The sequence below is a fragment of the Homo sapiens genome, chromosome X, assembly GCF_000001405.40.
Source record: "Homo sapiens chromosome X, GRCh38.p14 Primary Assembly".
Taxonomy (NCBI): domain Eukaryota; kingdom Metazoa; phylum Chordata; class Mammalia; order Primates; family Hominidae; genus Homo; species Homo sapiens.
The window spans coordinates 119,895,893-119,915,882 of record NC_000023.11 but is presented as its reverse complement, the minus strand read 5'-3'; the positions used below and the strand labels follow the sequence as shown (position 1 = coordinate 119,915,882).

Here is a 19,990-nt window from a genome sequence, read left to right as displayed (position 1 = left end):
TGACATAATCTTGGTGAGAGAAGATGGTGTCTTGGACCAGGATGATAGAAGTGGAGTAGTAAGAAATTGTTTGGGGGGGCCGGGCACGGTGGCTCAAGCCTGTAATCCCAGCACTTTGGGAGGCCAAGGTGGGTGGATCACTTGAGATCAGGAGTTCGAGAGCAGCCTGGCCAACATGGTGAAACCCCATCTCTACTAAAAATACAAAAACCAGCCAGGCATGGTGGCGCACGACTGTAATCCCAGCTACTTGGGAGGTTGAGACAGGAGAATCACTTAAACCCAGGAGGTGGAGGTTGCAGTGAGCCAAGATCGTGCCACTGCACTCCAGCCTGGGCAATAAGAGTGAAACTCTGTCTCAAAAAAAAAAATTTGTTGGATTCTGGATATATTTTTGAAAGTAGAGCCAATAGGATTTCCTAATGGATTAGATGAGGGATATGAGAGAAGAGTCAAGGATGACACCAAGGATTTTGGCTATTAACTAAGATGAAGACTGCAAGTAGATAGGCTTGGAAGGGAAAATCAGAAGTTCAGTTTTACATACAATAAATTAGATGTTTATTAAACATCCACGTGGGACGGGTCTGTGCTAGAGATACAAATTTGGGGAACATAAGCTCTAGGTGGCATTTAAAGCTATGAGACTGGAAGAGATAACCACAGAACTGAGTATTAGAGAAGAGGTCCAAGGCCTGAGTTTCAGGACATTCCAACATGAAGAGGTTGGTATGAGGCAGGGAAACTACCAGTAGAGACGGACTGTGAAGGAATGGTCAGTGAGGCAGGAGGAAAATCAGGAAAGTATGTTGTTCTAGAAGCCAAATGGAAAGTTTCATGGAGCGGGGAGTGATCAGTTTTGGCAAGTGCCGTGCATAGGCCAGTAAGATGAGGACAGAAGTATGACTATTAAATTTTGTAAAAATGGGGTTATTGATGACCTTGACAAGAGAAGTCTCCATTCTCACTGAAGCCTCACTGAAGGGAGAAAAAGAAGAACTTACCGGTGGTTTGGTTTTGGAGACCTTCATGGTGAAGTAGGTACCAGCAGAGATTCGTGCTACGGGTAGGTCAGCAGTTGAGATACTCCAGTGTACATAGTAGATGTAGAGGAAGCTGTGAATTAAGTCTTTCCTCTCTACAAACTCTACGCCATGTGCCCAGCATTTTTTAGAAACACACTTCTGTTTCATAGAAAAAAGAAAAAGCACACAGAAAAAGAAAAGCCTTCTGTTCAAGTCCTGTAGATAAATGCAGCATGGCTGGGTGCAGTGGCTCATGCCTGTAATCCCAGCACTTTGGGAGGCCGAGGCAGGAGGATTGCTTGAGCCCAGGAGTTCCAGACCAGCCTGGGCAATGTAGCAAGACCCTATCTCTACAAAACAAATTTAAAAATTAGCCAGGCATGGTGGCACGCACCTGTAATCCCAGCTACTGGGGAGGCTGAGGCAATAGGATTGCCCGAGTCCAGGAGTTTGAGGCTGCAGTGAGCTGTGATCGCACCACTACACTCCAGCCTGGGTGACAGAGCAAGACCCTATCCCTAAAAAAACGAATAAATAAAAATAAAGGATAAGTGTGGCATGTAACAGTCAGGGTTAGAGCTCTGTTCTGGAGTCCGCTCCTAATTTTTTTTTTTTTTTTTGAGATGGAGTCTCTCTCTGTTGCCCAGGCTGGAGTGCAGTGGCATGATCTCGGCTCATTGCAACCTGTGCCTCCCAGATTCAAGCGATTCTCCTGCCTCAGCCTCCCAAGTAGCTGGGATTACAGGCGTATGCCACCAAGCCCGGCTAATTCTTTTTGTATTTTTAGTAGAGACGGCGTTTCACCATGTTGGTCAGGCTGGTTTCAAATTCCTGACCTCAAGCGATTTACCCACCTTGGCCTCCCAAAGTGCTGGGAATACAGGTGTGAGCCACCGCACCTGGCCACTCCTAATATTTTTTTATTGGGGTCAAACTAGGGTCAGCTCCCAATTATCACCATGGGTGGAGGAGAGAAAAGGTTAAGCTGAAATGAAACAAGTGAAGAATGCAAACATCAGTTGAGATTGAGCCTTGGACTGTAGGGACACACATTGATTGATTGATTGATTGATTGATTGATTGAGACAGAGCCTCACTTCTTCACCCAGGCTGGAGTGCAGTGGCGTGATCTTGGCTCATTGCAACCTCTGCCTCCTGGGTTCAAGCGATTCTCCTGCCTCAGCCTCCCGAGTAGCTGGGATTACAGGCATGCGCCACCACGCCCAGCTAATTTTTGTATTTTTGGTAGAGATGGGGTTTCACCATGTTGCCCAGGCTGATCTCAAACTCCTGAGCTCAAGTGTTCCACCTGCCTTGGCCTCCCAAAGTGCTGGGATTATAGGTGTGAGCCACCATGCCCAGCAAGGCACACCCTTCAATGTCTACATGTACATACACACAGATGTTGCTTCAGACCCCCTCACAGGAGGCAGGTTCAATTAATTGGAAAATAATTAGAAAGTGATTAGAACACTTGTTCTGCTCATCCCAGGAGACCTAAATGTGTGACTGGAAAGTAATGAGGCTGGCTTTAGCCATTTGTGAAAATCCAACTCACTTAATTGTAGCCATAGGTGGTATATAAAATAAGTTCAGGGAGGCAATAGAATAATCCACATCCTACAGAAAGGAGGGATTCCTTGTTTGCACCCTTGGAGAAGCTTCCCCCTTTCTTTTTAAAATTTTATTTTATTTTATTTTATTTTATTTATTTATTTATTTATTTATTTATTTTAGAGACCAGGTCTTGCTATGTTGTCCAGGCTGGCCTTGAACTCCTGGGCTCGAGCAATCCGCCTGCCTCAGCCTACCAAAGTGCTGGGATTACAGGCATGAGCCACCACTCCCAGGCGCTTTCCCCTTTCAAGGCACAAATCTTCGTAGTGATGAGAGTTGAGAAACAAAATCTTCCTTGGAATGTCTCCTTTGTCTGGGCCTATTCTTGGAGTTGAGATGGGAATACAGTCCCACCACTGCGGATTCTAATACATAGGGCCAACCTTTTCAATCCACAGTTGGTTACATCCATGGATGGGGGGACGACTAAGGGACTTGAGCGCACGTGGATTTTGATATGCATGGAGGGTCTGAAAACGTATTCCCCTGCAGATATGGAGAGCCAACTGTACACAACTAAGGTTAACTACATTATTGAAAGTAGCATTTAGGCTGGGCACAGTGGCTCACGCCTGTAATGCCAGCACTTTGGGAGGCCGAGGTGAGCGGATCACTTGAAGTCAGGAGGTTGCAGTGAGCCAAGATCATGCCATTGCACTCCAGCCTGGGCTACAAGAGTGAAATTCCATCTCAAAAAAAAAAAAAAGTAGCATTCATTCAGTTCTTCTTTCCTTCTTTCCTTCCTTCCTTAATCCATTTTTTATTAACCTTCGATCATATCTATTCTACCTGAAATGTGTCTCAAATCTATCCATTCTTCTCCAGTCCCACTGCCACTGCTCTACTTCAGCTCTTAGTGTTTCTCACCTGGACTTAGGCAATAACCCATCTAGACTCCATTGTCCTCAACCTCACTTCTCCAATCCCCCACCCACAATGAAGCCAGAGTTATTTTCCTTAAGCACAGCTTCAGTCATAGCTGATCAGCTCAAAAACCTCCCGTGGGCCGGGCGCAAGCTTAGTGGCTCACGCCTGTAATCCCAGCACTTTGGGAGGCTGAGGCGGGCAGATCACTTAAGGTCAGGAGTTCGAGACCAGCTCGGCCAACATGGTGAAACCCCGTCTCTACTAAAAATGCAAAAATGAGCCGGGCGTGGTGGTGGGCGCCTGTAATCCCAGCTACTTGAGAGGCTGAGGCATGAGAATCCTTCGAACCCAGGAGGCGGAGGTTGCAGTGAGCTGAGATCGCGCCATTGCACTTCAGCCTGGGCGACAAGAGCGAAACTCCATCTCAGAAAAAAAAAAAAAAAGCAACCTCCAGCAGCTCCCCCATTGCCTGCCAAACAAAATGAAAATGTTTCACTGTGTCATTTAAGACTTCCCACAATGGCCAGGCGTGGTGTAATCCCAGCACTTTGGGAGGCTGAGGCAGGAGGATCGTTTGAGCACAGGAATTTAAGACTGCAGTGAGCTATGATCGTGCCACTGCACTCCAGGCTGGGCAACTCCTTGTCTCAGAAAAAAAAAAAAACAAGTTTCATGTCACACTTTTCTCAACAAAATGCTCATATTCCCATCAAGCTATAGCTAGCACTATTCCCCATGTTTACACCATGCTTTTGATCCAGCTGTTGTCATTTCTTGAGAAGCTTCTCTCTATCACCTACTTGATAAATTCTGTTTTCCTTAAAACTACCACCTCCAAGAAGTCTTTCTGATCCCTCTTCCAACCAGATGTGACTTCACACCCTTTCCCTTTGAACACTGGTGGAACTTGTTTTCTGCCTGTCTTATGGCACTTGAGACATCCCCGCATAGTACAGCCATAAGGAACTGTCTGCGTTGTAGTCTCCATATTAAAAAATTTCTTTTCTTTTTTTTTTTTTTGAAACAGAGTCTCGCTCTGTCACCCAGGCTGGACTGCAATGGCACCATCTCGGCTCGCTGCAACCTTCGCCTTCCAAGTTCAAACAATTCTCCCGCCTCAGCTTCCCTGAGTAGCTGGGATTACAGGCGCCCACCACCACACCCAGCTAATTTTTGTATTTTTAGTAGAGACAGGGTTTCACCATGTTGGTCAGGCTGATCTTGAACTCCTGACCTCACGTGATCTGCCCACCTTGGCCTCCCAAACTGTTGGGATTACAGGCGTGAGCCACCATGCCCGGCCAATATTAAAACATTTCTAACAGGGCTGACTTATCTGTAAGGCATAGTAAGCTCAATACCTAGGGCCCACAAAAAAAATGTGTTCATTTCTTTTAAAATTAGAAGAAAAAGGCCGGGCACAGTGGCTCACGCCTGTAATCCCAGCACTTTGGGAGGCCGAGGAGGGCGGATCACCTGAGGTCGGGAGTTCGAGACCAGCCTGACCAACGTGGAGTAATCCAGTCTCTACTAAAAATACAAAATTAGCCCAGCGTGGTGGTGCATGCCTGTAATCCCAGCTACTTGGGAGGCTGAGGCAGGAGAATCGTTTGAACCCGGGAGGCGGAGATTGTGGTGAGACGAGATTGCGCCATTGCACACCAGCCTGGGCAACAAAAGCAAAACTCTGCCTCAAAAAAAAGAAGAAGAATATATGAATTTTAGGGTCATGATTATATTCATCTTTATACCAGTGCTGTCTTGAATTTTTTCATCTTTTGAAGGAGAAAGGGGGATACAAAGGGAAGAGTGCCTAGGGCCCACAGAAGTCAAAATGCATCCCTGATTCCTGGCACAGGGCCTTAGATTTCACAGGTATTCAACAAATTCAATTCAACTGAACTTCCTTGGGCTGGCTCTCAGGGCACCAGAAGCTTCTGAATCAAAGAAGAGCCTGAATTAAGATGAAGGTTCACAGAAGGAAGGAATTGGGAGAGTCTAACAAGTCCCAGTAATGTGGAGAGGGAGTACAGGAGACATCAAAAAGATTTCAGGCCCTCCTTTAAAAAAAATGTAGGCTGGCCTTTTGCCTCAGCTTATTTCAAACTTGTACCCAATTGGCTGTTTCAGTCCAGAGAAGAGCACTGGACTCGAGATTCCTTGAGATCAGGAGCTGTGTATTCTTTCATGTATCATTATTCCTTTTTTCTGAGACAGGGTCTTACTCTGTCACCTAGGCTGGAGTGCAGTGGCACGATCATGGCTCATTGTAGCCTCAACCTTCCCGGGCTTAAGTGACCCTCCCGCCTCAGCCTCCCAAGTAGCTGAGACTACATACAGGCATGCACCACCACACCTGGCTAATTTTTATATTTTTTGTAGAGATGACAGTCTCCCTATATTGCCCAGGCTGGTCTCAAACTCCTAGGCTCAAGTGATCCACTGGCCTCGGCCTCCCAAAGTCATTATTCCTTCCTTTTTTTTTTTTTGAGACGGAGTCCCTCTCTGTCTTCCAGGCTGGAGTGCAGTGACGTGATCTCGGCACACTGCAACCTCCGCCTCCTGGGTTCAAGCGATTCTCCTTCCTCAGCCTCCTGAGTAGCTGGGATTACAGGTGCTCACCACCACGCCCAGCTAATTTTTGTATTTTTAGTAGAGATCCAGGCTGGTCTTGAACTCCTGACCTCAGGTAATCCACATGCCTCGGCCTCCCAAAGTGCTGGGATTATAGGCACGAGCCACCACGCCTGGCCCCAAAATCATTACTCCTTTTAATGAAGGGGCCCAACAGTCAACCCCTTATGGCTCATTGGAGCATGCCTCTTTTTTTTTTTTTTTATGTTTTTGAGATGAAGTCTTGCTCCGTCACCCAGGCTTGAGTACAGTGGCGTTTTCTCGGCTCACTGCAACCTCCGCCTCCCGAGTTCAAGTGATTCTTCTGCCTCAGCCTCCCGAGTAGCTGGCATTACAGGTGTGCACCACCACATTTGGCTAATTTTTGTATTTTTAGTAGAGATGGAGTTTCTGTGCTCGCTTCGGCAGCACATATAGTAGAGACGGAGTTTCACCATGTTGGCCAGGCTGGTCTCAAACTCCTGGCCACAGGTGATCCACCTGCCTCGGCCTTCCAAAGTGTTGGGATTACAGGCATGAGCCACCGCACCCAGCCAGAGCATGCCTTTTTTTTCAACTGTTCTATATTACTCAATATACTTTTCTAGCCCTAATGTTTAATCTGTCACACAATCACAGACTTTATAACATTGAATAGGTCACTAGAGATAATCTAATGCAGCCCTTCACTTTGCAGATGAGGATACCAGGGCCTAGAAGTAGGTAGGGACAGTCTAACACAATAAACTGGGACTGGTACCCAGGACTCCTGAGCAGCCCGCTCAGTGCTTTCTCCACCCCACTAGAAGCCTCAGTTCTAAGAGTTTCTTCTTCTCAGCTTGGCTCTTAGTGGATTTTTCCTCCCTTTTGTGAATGAAGGCAGCCTTACACATGACATTAAATTTAACTATTTTCATCAGGCGAATCTCCTCCCATTTTTATCCGTGTGCAGGCAGCAGACTTTTATGTATCAGCAGTGAGTGTGTTTTGTGATTTTTACATGATACTGCTTCATATACTCACTTCCAGGAAACAGTATCTCACTGTACTACTTGATCATGGATGGCTTAGCCAACTACATACTACTGGACACTCACAATCAACAGACACATAGAAGTATATGCACAAGGCAAAAAACAATGAAAAAGTATATGCACAAAACTGTTATCCATGGTTAAGTGACCTTTGGGGTAATAGAAACGGGTATTTTGGGTAATTTCATTTTCTAATTTGTATCTTTTTGCTCACTGGGCATTTTTTATAGTGATGTCTTTTTTTTATTATAAAAGTAATTTTAACTGTCTGAGGTGATGGGCATTCTCTGATTTTTCTTTTATAAGGAACCCATTTGTATATTCCTGTTGCCAGACTGTGTTCCTGAAGAGAATGAACCAACTTTGCCATTGGCAATGTGTAAGTGTTCCCTCCCCACAACTATACCATCCTATACCATCCTTCTTTTTTTTTTTTTTTTTTGACAGAGTCTCACTCTGTTGCCCAGGCTGGAGTGCAGTGGTGCGATCTCAGCTCACTGCAACCTCCGCCTCCCAGGTTCAAGTGATTCTCCTGCCTCAGCCTCCCAAGCAGCTGGGATTACAGGCACACACTACCACACCCAGTTAATTTTTTTGTATTTTTGTAGAGACAGGGTTTCACCATGTTGACCAGGCTGTTCTCAAACTCCAGACCTCAAGTGATCCGCCCGCCTCGCCCTCCCAAAGTGCTGGGATTACAGGCGTGAGCCACCGCGCCCAGCCTGTACCAGCCTTCTGATACCAGGTTTAATTATTCGTATTCACATTGTAGTACCTTAAAATCATTTGAATTTGTATTTTTAAATGATAATAAAAGTCTGCATTATTTTTGTCATCCAAAAGTACTTTTCCTGGGTCAGTAGAAGCTGATGAGAAAAAACAAATAAGAAAAAAAAATACTTTTCCTACTGTGGTGGAAAGAATATATCAGATAGAACTGACTGGGTGCAGTGGCTCACACCGGGTGCAGTGGCCACTGCCAGTGGCTGGCAGTAATCCCAGCACTTTAGGAGGCCGAGGCAGGAGGACCACTTGAGGCCAGGAGTTCAAGACCAGCCTGAGCAACAAAGTGAGACCTCATCTCTACAAAAAAATAAAAAATTTACTCGGCCATGGTGCTGTGTACCCATAGTCCTAGCTACTCAGGAGGCTGAGGCAGGAGGATCACTTGAGCCCAGGAGTTTGAGGCTGCAGTGAGCCGAGATTGCGCCACTGCACTCCAGCTTGGGCGACAGAGCAAGACTCTGTCTCAATAAATAAATAAATAAATAAATATTTTTTAAAAAGAATGTATCAGGCCAGGCACAGTGGCTCACGCTTGTAATCCCAGCACTTTGGGAGGCTGAGGTGGGCAGATCACTTGAGGTCAGGAGTTTGAGACCAGACTGGCCAACATGGTGAAACCCCATCTCTACTAAAAATGCAAAAATTAGCCAGGCATGGTAGCATGCACCTGTAGTCCCATCTACTCGGGAGCCTGAGGCAGGAGAATCCCTTGAACCCAGGAGGCAGAGGTTGCAGTGAGCCAAGATGGTGCCACTGCACTGCAGCCCTGGGTGACAGAGCAATGCCCTGTCCCACAAAAAAAAAAAAAAAATCAGACAGACATATGATCATAACTTTGTTTTGCTGCTCAATCAGAGAGAGGTTGGGCAATTTGTGCAAAGTTCTCATCTTTTAAATGGGTACACTGATATACCCACACACAGTTTTGTTGTGAGGATTAAACGAGATAATGCATGATGATGTGCACTGCAGTGCTTAACACATAGCAGTACTCAGTAAATGGCAACTCCTAATTTACCATCCCCTGATGTGTAGTGGACCCTGGGAAACTGGCAATAAGCTTGAAAAAGCTCTCCATCAGAAATGCCTCACACTTTGGCCGGGTGCAGTGGCTCACACCTGTAATCCCAACACTTTGGGAGTCCAATGTGGGTGGATCACCTGAGGTCAGGAGTTCGAGACCAGCCTGGCCAAAATGGTGAAACCCCATCTCTACTAAAAATTAAAAATAAAAAATAAATTGGCCTGGCATGGTGGCAGGTGCCTATAATTCCAGCTACTCGGGAGGCTGAGGCAAGAGAATCACTTGAACCCAGGAGGTGGAGGTTGTAGTAGGCCGAGATCGCACCATTGCACTCCAGCCTGGGTGACAAGAGTGAAACTCTGTCTCAAAAAAAAAAAAAAGAAGGGCCGGGCGCGATGGCTCACGCCTGTAATCCCAGCACTTTGGGAGGCCGAGGCAGGCGGATCACAAGGTCAGAAGATCGAGACCATCCTGGCTAACATGGTGAAACCCTGTCTCTACTAAAAATACAAAATATTAGCCAGCACGGTGGCACACGCCTGTAGTCCCAGCTACTCGGGAGGCTGAGATAGGAGAATCACTTGAACCTAGGAGGCGGAGGGTGCAGTGAGCCAAGATCACGCCACTGCACTCCAGCCTGGGCGACAGAGTGAGACTCCGTCTCAAAAAAAAAAAAAAAAAAAAAAAAAAAGAAATGCCAGGCATGCTGCATTAGTGGGGCTGGGAACAGGGCGATTTTACATCATGAGTTAATATAACATGTTTAGCTTTTCAGTCATTTACTTTTTAATTGTCTCTGTCCTCACAACAGCCCTACGAAATAGGTAAGACAAATCCTTTGACCTGGCTCTTCATCTGTGAAGAAATACGGTAATGCAATAATAAATCTGCTCATGTATTCAACATAGAGTTATTGAGCATCTGTGTACCTGACATTGCTAGGGGCTGGGAAGAGAGCAGTCAAGAGAAATCTGCCCTCATGGACCATATGGTCTGGGGGTGGAAGACAGGCAGTAGGACAAGTAAATAGACTCTAGTAGGCAGAAAGAAGTGCGAAGGGAAAAATGAATCAGAGAAGTGGAGAGGGTTGTGATTTTAGATGAAGTGGCCAAGAAAAGCCTCAATGAGCAGGTGATAGTTTTCAACAAAGATCTGAAGGGAGGTAAAGCAGTGAGCCATGGGTATACATCTTAGGGGAGAGGGTTCCAGGCAGAGGGAACAGCAAGAGCAAGGGTCCTGACAGGGGAACATGCCTGGCAGTCGAGGAACGGCAAGGAGGCAAGTGTGGCCGAGGGAAGAAGGTGAGAGGGGGGAAGGAGTGATGGGAGCTGAACCATAAATCAGGAGGGGAAAGGGAACTCAGATCATATTGGGCCTTGTAGACCATTGTCAGGACTTACTTTTGCCTTTTACTCAGAATGACCAGTGGGATTTGCAAGGGAAATTTTTCCTACTTGCTATGTGTTCCATTCTAGTTTGATTCAGGAACCCTGAGTGCAGTAGGCAGGGGCCTTTGCCCAACCCCAAATGGAGAAGTGCTCCACAGCAGGAAGGCTCAAGAATAACTTGCACCATTCATCTTCACTATGCTCAAGATACCCCTCCTAATGAGAACGGTGAGTGGCGTCCGCTGGAGCATAGAAGGCGTGGAGCCAGAAATCCCTGACTTTTCCTCCTTCACACCTGACCAGGCCTTCCTAAGGCCTGGGAAACTGCCCTGAGGGCTGTAGGCTTTGAGGTGCTGGCCTGGGGAACAGAGAGAGCTGGAACTTTTCCCAGGGGTAGGGGAGTTCGCCTCCACCAATTTCAACTGGTCTCTGTTCCACAGAAGCACAATGAGAAGGATTTCAAGCCTTTTTTTTTTTTGAGACAGGGTCTCACTCTGTCACCCAGGCTGAGTGCAGTGGCACAATCACAGCTTACTGCAGCCTCGACCTCCTGGGCTCAAGTGATCCTCCCACCTCAGCCTCCTGAGTAGCTGGAACTATACGTGCATACCACCACGCCCGGCTAATTATTATTATTATTTTTTGAGACGGAGTCTTGCTCTGTCGCCCAGGATTGAGAATGCAGTGGTGTAATCTCAGCTCACTGCAACCTCTGCCTCCTGGGTTCAAGCGATTCTTCTGCCTCAGCCTCCCGAGTAGCTGGGATTACAGGCGCCCAGCACCACGCCTGGCTAATTTTTGTATTTTTAATAGAGACGGGGTTTCACCATATTGGCCAGGCTGGACTTGAACTCCTGACCTTGTGATCTGCCCACTTCGGCCTCCCAAAGTGCTGGGCTTACAGGCGTGAGCCACTATGCCTGGCCTAATTTTTTAGTTTTATAGAGATGGGGTCCCACTATGTTGCCCAGGCTGTCTCAAACTCTTAGGCTCAAATGATTGATTCTCCCGTCTTGGTATTTCAAAGTGCTGGGATTACAGATGTGAACCACTGCGCCTGGCCCAAGCCATTCTCCTTTATTCACTCACCAGTTATGCAAAGTAATCCAGGGCCTTCTCAGCAAAGCTGCCACACGAAGAAGTCAGAGTCAGACACAGGCAGAAGAACAAAGGAATTCATGGGATTGTACATCTTACTATGCAGGCAATATATTCCAAAGCCAAATCAAAAAGTCTTTTGATCCATCTGCATCCCCTCTGTTAACAGGAGCATTCTAAAGTTGGTGGTGGAGGCTGGGTGCAATGGCTCACACCTGTAATCCCAGCACTTTGGGAGGCCAAGGCAGGAGGATCCCTTGAGGCCAGGAGTTCGAGGCCAACCTGAGCAACATAGCACGACCCTGTCTCTACAAAAAAAAATTAAAAATTAGCCAGGTGTGGTGACACGTGCCTGTCTACTTGGAAGGCTGAGGTGGGAAGATCGCTTGAGCCCAGGAGTTCAAAGCTGCAGGGAGCTAGGATCGAGCCCCTGCACTGCAGCCTCGGTGACAGAGTGGGACCCTGTCTCTAAAAAAAATAAACAAAATAATGGTGGTGGAGAACTCCTATTTTGGAGGAGCATCTCCCTCCTTAGGCCACTAGGCCCCCATTTAATGCACCAGCATGGACAAATTGCTTAAGTAGGAAGAGCAGATTTTCCCAGGGAAATGTAAGGTTAGAATGATACAGACACAGGGAAAATGATTGTGATTGTGCATTTCACCTTCAAAGACTATCCCACCTTGATTTTGGAACTGAGATGGAGATGATGTTTACTTATTCTAGTCAGCCCCCTTTGATACCATCTCCTAGATTTTCCAGACTTCAAACTTTTGATCTGCTGAGAGTCTCTTTATTGTTCTTCACACCGGTGTACCATGCTGGAGTGGTCGGCCTAACTTACCGAAAAATATTCGTCAATTTGTTTAAGACCCTTTTCCACAGTGAATTCACCGTGAGTCATCCACTTGATGTTTTTCAAAGGGTTTCGCTCCTCTGCAAAAAAAAGGTGTGAGTTCGTTAGTTGCCAGGTAGTGTGGTGCTATATTTAGACTATATAGACAATTATTTAGGCATCCAAACAAACAGGATCACTACCTTCCACAATCTTAACAGCATAATTGATGACATCCTCAACCAGAGCTAGAGCTACTTGAGTCAATTCATCCTCGTAGTTCTTGTCTTGTGTATTCGGCATTGTTTGGCTTGCGGCTTTGTTATCCTCATCCATTGCTTTCTGGCTTGTTGAATTTTGAGTCTCACTCATTTTCTTTTTCCTGGGGAAAAAAAGAAGTTACTGTGTGCCTGTGTGTGTACACACATGTGAACGCACTCATATAAGTACAGATCATCTCTTGAAGAATCACAAGAGACAGGAAGCAGTTATTGCCTCTAGGGAGGGGATTAGGGGTTTAAGGGTAGGAGTCAGACCTGTGCCTGGCTGCTGCTATCTACTTTTCCTGAAAACCAAGGATTCTCACATTCTCAAAATCATAATGAGGCCCGGCGCGGTGGCTCACGCCTGTAATCCCAGCCCTTTGAGAGCCCGAGGCGGGCGGATCACCTGAGGTCAGGAGTTCAAGACCAGCCTGACCAACATGGTGAAACCCCGTCTCTACTAAAAATGCAAAATTTGCCGGGTGTGGTGGCGGGCGCCTGTAATCCCAGCTACTTGGGAGGCTGAGGCAGGACAATTGCTTGAACCTGGGAGGTGGAGGTTGCAGTGAGCCAAGATCGCGCCATTGCACTCCAGCCTGGGCAACAAGAGCAAAACTCCATCTCAAAAACAAAACAAAAAACAAAAAAAACACCATAATGACTTAAATCAAAATGTAGTAGAAAAAAAGTAGCACTTCTTTGGAGTGCCTAGCAATATTGATTCCAAGTTGAATCTTTGATAAGAAACCCAATCCCTGCTAGGAGCAACTGAGGGCACCTGGCTCTTTTAAAATGATGTTAAAATGAAGTGGGTGTGGTGGCATGTGCCTGTAATCTCAGCTATTCAGGAGGCTGAAGCAGGGGGACAGTTTGAGGCTATGAGTTTGAAACCAGCCTGGGCAACATAGTGAGATCTCCCCACTCCCCAACCTGTCTTAACTTTTAAAAAGAAATATAAAGGCCCGGCGCGGTGGCTCACGCCTGTAATCCCAGCACTTTGGGAGCCTGAGGCAGGCATATCACGAGGTCAGGAGTTGAAGACCACTCTGGCCAACATGGTGAAACCTCGTCTCTACTAAAAATACAAAAATTAGCTGGGCATGGTGGCTCATGCCTGTAATCCCAGCTACACAGGAGGCTGAGGCAGGAGAATTGCTTGAACCGGGACCCAGGAGGCAGAGGTTGCTGTGAGCCGAGATCGCACCACTGCACTCCAGCCTTCCAGCCTGGGCTACAGAGGGAGACTACATCTCAAAAAAAAAAAAAAAGTATAAAGACAGTGTTTTGTTTTTTGTTTGTTTGTTTGTTTGTTTGAGTCAGAGTTTTGTTCTTGTTGCCCAGGCTGGAGAGCAATGGCGCTATCTCGGCTCACCGCAACCTCCGCCTCCCGGGAGAATCCAGGTTCAAGTGATTCTCCTGCTTCAGCCTCCCGAGTAGCTGGGATTGGAGGCATGCGCCACCACGCCCGGCTAATTTTGTATTTTCAGTAGAGATGGGGTTTCTCCAAGTTGGCCAGGCTGGTCTCGAACTCTTGACCTCAGGTGATCCACCCGCCTCGGCCTCCCAAAGTGCTGGGATTACAGGCGTGAGCCAGCGCGCCGGCTAAGATAGTGTTTTTTTTTTTTTTGAGACAAAGTTTCGTTCTGTCGCCCAGGCTGGAGTGCAATGGCACAATCTTGGCTCACTGCAACCTCCGCCTCCCGGATTCAAGTGATTCTCCTGTCTCAGCCTCCCGAGTAGCTGGGACTACAGGCGTGTGCCACCATGCCTGGCTAATTTTTTGTAGTTTTAGTAGAGACGGGGGTTCACCATGTTGGCCAGGCTGGTCTTGAACTCCTGACCTCAAGTGATCCACCCACTTTGGACTCCCAAAGTGCTGGGATTACAGGTGTGAGCCACCACACCTGGCCTATAAAGATAGTGTTAAAATGAGTAGAGGCATTACAGCAGAGGAATATTGGTTTCATAATTCTCTCTCTTGGGTTTTTCCAGTACAGTATACAATTATATCATCTCCAATAAACTGTCACTTTTATCATCTTTTTTCCAGGAGTATATATCTCTTATGAGTATTAGCTTTGGTTAATACTTCCAGAAAAATGTAAAATGAAAGTGGAAATAATGAGCATCCTCCTATTGTGTCTGACTTTAATGGCCTTGCTTTCTGGTGTTACACCATTAGTATGATGCTGGTTTGTGGTTTGAGATGTATCACATCAAGAAAACATTCGTCTGTTCCTGTTCTAGTAAGATTTTTATCATAAATGATAGCTATAATCTTCCAGATGCCTTTAACATGTATTGACAATGTGAAAATTTGTGTTACTAGGGCTGTAAAGATGGCTCCATCACAGAGCTAGAAGTCTTTCCTCATTTTCAATGTTTTTTACATCTTTTCCCTTGAGTCTTAAATCCTTTCTTTTCTTGCTACTGTTTAAGTCTCTTTGCTTATGAAAAATTGCTTACTTCCAGCACAGCTTTAAATTCCTTACAGGCAGCCGGGTGCAGTGGCTCAGGCCTGTAATCCCAGCACTTCGGGAGGCCAAAGTGGGAGGATCGCTTAAGTGCAGGGGATTGAGATCAGCCTGGACAACATAGCAAGGCCCCATCTCTACAAAAGTTTAAAAAATTAGCCAGGTATGGTGATGTGTGCCTGTAATCCCAGCTTTCTACTCACAAGGCTGATGTAGGAGGATCACTTGAGCCTGGGAGGTCGAGGCTGCAGGGAGCCGTGATCTCACCACTGTACTCCAGTCTGGGTGACAGAGCGAGACCCTGTCTCAGAGAAAATAAAAAACATGGCCAGGCACGGTGGCACACGCCTGTAATCCCAGCAATTTGGGAGGCCAAGGGGTTAGATCACCTGAGGTGAGGAGTTTGAGACTAGCCTGGCCAACATGGAGAAACCCCATCTCTACTAAAAATACAAAAATTGGCCTGGGCCAGGTTTGGTGGCTCATGCCTGTAATCCCAGCTCTTTGGGAGGCCGAGGCGGGTGGATCACCTGAGGTCAGGAGTTCAAGACCAGCCTGGCCAACAAGGCAAAACCCCGTCTCTACTAAAAATACAAAAATTAGCCAGGTGTGGTGGCACGTGCCTGTAATCCCAGCTACTCGGGAGGCTGAGGCAGGAGAATCGCTTGAATCTGGGAGGCGGAGGTTGTGGTGAGCCCAGATCACGCCATTGCACTCCAGCCTGGGCAATGAGAGTGAGACTCCATCTCAAAAAAAAAAAAAGTTGGACTGGCATGGTGGCCAGCACCTGTAATCCCAGCTACTCGTGAGGCTGAGGCAGGAGAATTGCTTGAACCCGGGAGGCAGAGGTTGCAGTGAGCCGAGATTGTGTCGCTGCACTCCAGCCTGGTGACAGAGCAAGGCTGTCTCAAAAAATAAAAAATAAGTATGTTGCAAGCAATCCTTCCATTGAGTGGAAGGGCTACATGAAAGTGGGTATCTCTCTCCAAATGGAGCTATTTTTCTATAAATAACAGCTCCCAATTTGGGGGTGTTTAATGTGCTATGTTTCATTTAACTGTCATCACAGCCCTATGAAAGAGTGCGCTGGGCACCTTCCATTTGCCTTTCCAAATCCACTGTCCTTGCATCTCCTCCTGCTTCCTGCCCTGGAAAACTAACCTGACTGCACCCATAAATGGTGCCCTCTGGCTTCTAGGGGGTTCCACACAATAAGGAGATCAGGAAGTCAAAATGTATGTCCCTGGTGGTTTTCTCCCTGCGAGTTGGCTGATGGCTGGCTGCATGAAGTCCCCAGCGTCTTTCAGGGTGGCGCTCTCCCAGCTTCCCAGTGTGGTAAGGGTAAGCATTCTCTCCCCTCAACGTTTTAGGCCCACTGTTACTAGCCCCGGGGAGCTGCACCTTCCTCTGTTGCCCTGCAATCTGGCCACACCTTTGTAAATATTCCCTTACTTAACCCTTCTACAGCTATCCTCATTTTAATATGCCAACAGTTTCCTACAGGAGCCCTGAGTCACAGACAGAGGGCCTGTTGCTGCCATGTGAAAATGAGGAAACTGAGCTGTACACCCACAGTGTCTGGCTTCACAGCCCATGCTCTCAACTGTGCTGCTCTTCTCCCTCCAAGATTGAGAAAGAGCAGTAGGGCCCTATTCTCACATTTTCTTTCTTCCTTTTTTTTTTTTTTTTTTTGAGACAGAGTCTTGTTCTGTCACCCAGGCTGGAGGGCAGTGGCACGATCTCCGCTCACTGCAACCTCCGCCTCCTGGGTTCAAGCAATTCTGCTGCCTCAGCCTCCCGAGTAGCTGGGATTACAGGCACCTGCCACCACGCCCAGCTAATTTTTGTATTTTTAGTAGAGACGGGGTTTCACCATCTTGGCCAGGCTGGTCTTGAACTCCTGACCTCCTGATCCACCCACCTCAGTCTCCCAAAGTGCTGGGATTACAGGTGTGAGCCATCGCGCCTGGCCTTATTCTCACATTTTCATCTAGAGTCCAGTGACCCACTCTCTCTCTGGGAGCCTCTTTCACAAAAGGCAACTCTTTTTTTTTTTTTTCAAGACGGAGTTTTCACTCTTATTGCCCAGGCCGGAGTGCAATGGCGAAATCTCGGCTCACTGCAACCTCTGCCTCCTGGGTTCAAGTGATTCTCCTGCCTCAGCCTCCCAAGTAGCTGGGATTACAGGTGTCCGCCACCATGCCCGGCTAGTTTTTGTTATTTTTAGTAGAGATGGGGTTTCACCATGTTGGCCAGGCTGGTCTTGAACTCCTGACCTCAGGTGATACACCTGCCTTGGTGTAATCTCCAAAGTGCTGGGATTACAGGTGTGAGCCACCACGCCCGGACAAAGGGCAACTCTCTGTTTCCTTTCTTGACATCATCATTGATCCCAGGGGGTAGTAGATACTGCAAAAGGCAACCTGGCTCCAACGGCCATCAGTTCAAGAACCACTGGGACAGCCTTTGAACATCCCTGAAATAATGTTGGCTATTGTTCATTTTAGCTTTTTGTTTTCCTTTTTTTCCTCTTGAGATAGAGTCTTGCTCTGTTACCTGGGCTGGAGTACAGTGGCGCAATCACAGCTAGCTGCAGCCTCAACTTCCTGGGCTCAAGTGATCCTCCCACCTCAGCCTCCTGAGTAGTTGGGCCTAAAGGCCTATACCACCACAGCTGGCTATTATTTTTTTCTTTTGATACAGAGTCTCACTCTGTCACCCAGGCTGGAGTGCGGTGGCGCAATCTCGGCTCACTGCAACGTCCGCCTCCTGGGTTCAAGCAATTCTCCTGCCTCAGCCTCCTGAGTAGCTGGGATTACAGGTGTGTAAATACAAAATACAAAAGTATTGTAAATACAAAAATATGCCCAGCTAATTTTTGTATTTTTAATAGAGACAGGGTTTTACCATGTTGGCCAGGCTGGTCTTCAACCCCTGACCTCGGGTGATCTGCCCACCTCGGCCTCCCAAAATGCTGGGATTACAGGCATGAGCCACCGTGTCCTGCCTACACCAGGCTATTTATTTTATAGGTCTCAGTATGTTGCCCAGACTGATGTTGGCATTTTTAAGCTCAGTTTGCCTCTGCCCCAGTTCCTTGTTGCTGCAGCTGGAGGTAGACAGGATCATCTGCCAGAGCACACAGAGCATTTCCAGGTTGCCCACTCCAGAGCAGCCAGAGGCTAAAGGGTGGTCAGTGAGGAGCCTAAAGGTCCTTAACACTAGAGAACTGGCTCTCCCTAGCCCTTACTTAGGCCATGCCAATTTGGCCAGAGCAACCTGCTATAAACTCTGTAGTTAAAGACAACTGTACAAAGGTTTTTGGGTAAATTGGTAATTTCAGTAGACTTTGGTGAGGTAGCCATATATCAACTTGATCCTTTAGAAAATTGTCCATTTGGGCCGGGCGCAGTGGCTCACACCTATAATCCCAGCACTTTGGGAGGCCAAGGCGGGCGGATCACGAGGTCAGGAGATCGAGACCATCCTGGCTAACACAGTGAAACCCCGTCTCTACTAAAAATACAAAAAATTAGCCAGCCGTGGTGGCGGGTGCCTGTAGTCCCAGCTACTTGGGGGTCTGAGGCAGGAGAATGGCATGAATCCGGGAGGCAGAGTTTGCAGTGAGCCAAGATCTCACCACTTCACTCCAGCCTGGGCAACAGAGTGCAACTCCACCTCAAAAAAGAAAAGAAAGAAAGAGAGAAAGAAGGAAAGAAGAAAAGAAAGAAAGAAAATTGTCCATTTGGGGCCGGGCGCGGTGGCTCACACCTGTAATCCCAGCACTTTGGAAGGCCAATGTGGGAGGATTACCTGAGGTCAGGAGTTCGAAACCAGCCTGGCCAACATGGCAAAATCCCGTCTCTACTAAAAATACAAAAATTAGCCAGGCATGGTGGTGCATGCCTGTCGTCCCAGCTACTCGGGAGGCTGAGGCAGGAGAATCACTTGAAACCAGAGGCGGAGGTTGCAGTGAGCCTTGATCGCGCTGCTGCACTCCAGCCTAGGCGACAGAGCGAGACTCTGTCTCAAAAAAAAAAAAAAAGAAAAAAAGAAAAGAAAAGAAAATTGCCCATTTGGTAACTTGGACATTCAGTAACTTTGCTTTCAGCAAATTTCCTATTGATAAATCGATGAGAAGTCAAATCTGTGACCTCCAACACGAAGCACATGGGGTGTGTGCTTTATGCATGGAAGGACCTCCTTAAGACTTTCCCTGGGGAGCCTGTGCTCCAACAGGAGAGGGAAGATGGGGAGCAGTGCCCAGGAAGAAGCTCAATTTTTACCCTCACACGTCTGTGGGCCCACACCATTCTTAAGCCTCCCTCCCACTGGCATCTCCTAGTTATTTTTCTTCCCTTCCCTCCCCTCCTCTCCCCTCCCCTCCGCTCCCCTCCCCTCCCCCTCCCTCTCCCTTGTCCTCCCCTCCCCTCCCCTCCCCTCTCCTCCCCTCCCCTTCTCAGAGGCCAGATAGGCAGGGTGGGTAGGAAGAGATGGGGGGAATGGTAACGTTTGGGGTCTGGGTGATGAATAGGGAGAACCACTGCAAGTCCTTTCTGTGGACTCCCCCACCCCGGAGAATCCCCAGTACCGGAGTGAGCAGATCTTCTTTGCTTGGAACAGGAGCAGTGGTAGGTGGCTGGGGATGTCTCAGGATTCTCTCAGTAGCTTCTCTCAGATTGCCAGATGGAATGTTTGCAAGTGCTGCCAAGGAAACAACAATTTCAACCAATGGGAAGCATAGCCTACATGTTTCTGACTGCTTATGTTAATAACAGAGGGTAAGATGGGAGGGGGTGAGGGAAGGAGGGGAGAGCCAATCACAGCAACTGTCTGACCGCAATAATAGGACCAAACTGTAGTAGCTATACCTAGCTTCTCTTCAGCCGAAGATGAGCTTACAGGGCCATGCCAGGAAGAACAGTGGTGATAAGCCTCACAGCTGGTATGTATTGGGCATCCCTAT

At 47.4% G+C, this 19,990-nt stretch overlaps 1 protein-coding gene across 3 annotated transcripts in view; it reads right to left on the bottom strand.

Annotated features, from left to right (window-relative positions):
- AKAP14 (A-kinase anchoring protein 14) overlaps positions 1–19,990 on the bottom strand; it is a 24,824-nt gene extending 4,834 nt beyond the window's left edge. The window contains exons 1-5 of one of the 3 annotated variants that reach the window (NM_178813.6): positions 19,896–19,990; positions 19,616–19,728; positions 12,491–12,669; positions 12,297–12,388; positions 1,005–1,184 (exon numbers count right to left, since the gene is read on the bottom strand). In NM_178813.6, coding sequence (NP_848928.1) covers positions 1,005–1,184; positions 12,297–12,388; positions 12,491–12,659 — 441 coding nt within the window. In that variant the 5' untranslated portion in view covers positions 12,660–12,669; positions 19,616–19,728; positions 19,896–19,990. Of the gene's footprint in view, positions 1–1,004; positions 1,185–12,223; positions 12,389–12,490; positions 12,670–19,615; positions 19,729–19,895 lie in introns of those variants that run through there. The other 2 variants (NM_001008534.2, NM_001008535.2) reach the window with 2 other exon arrangements.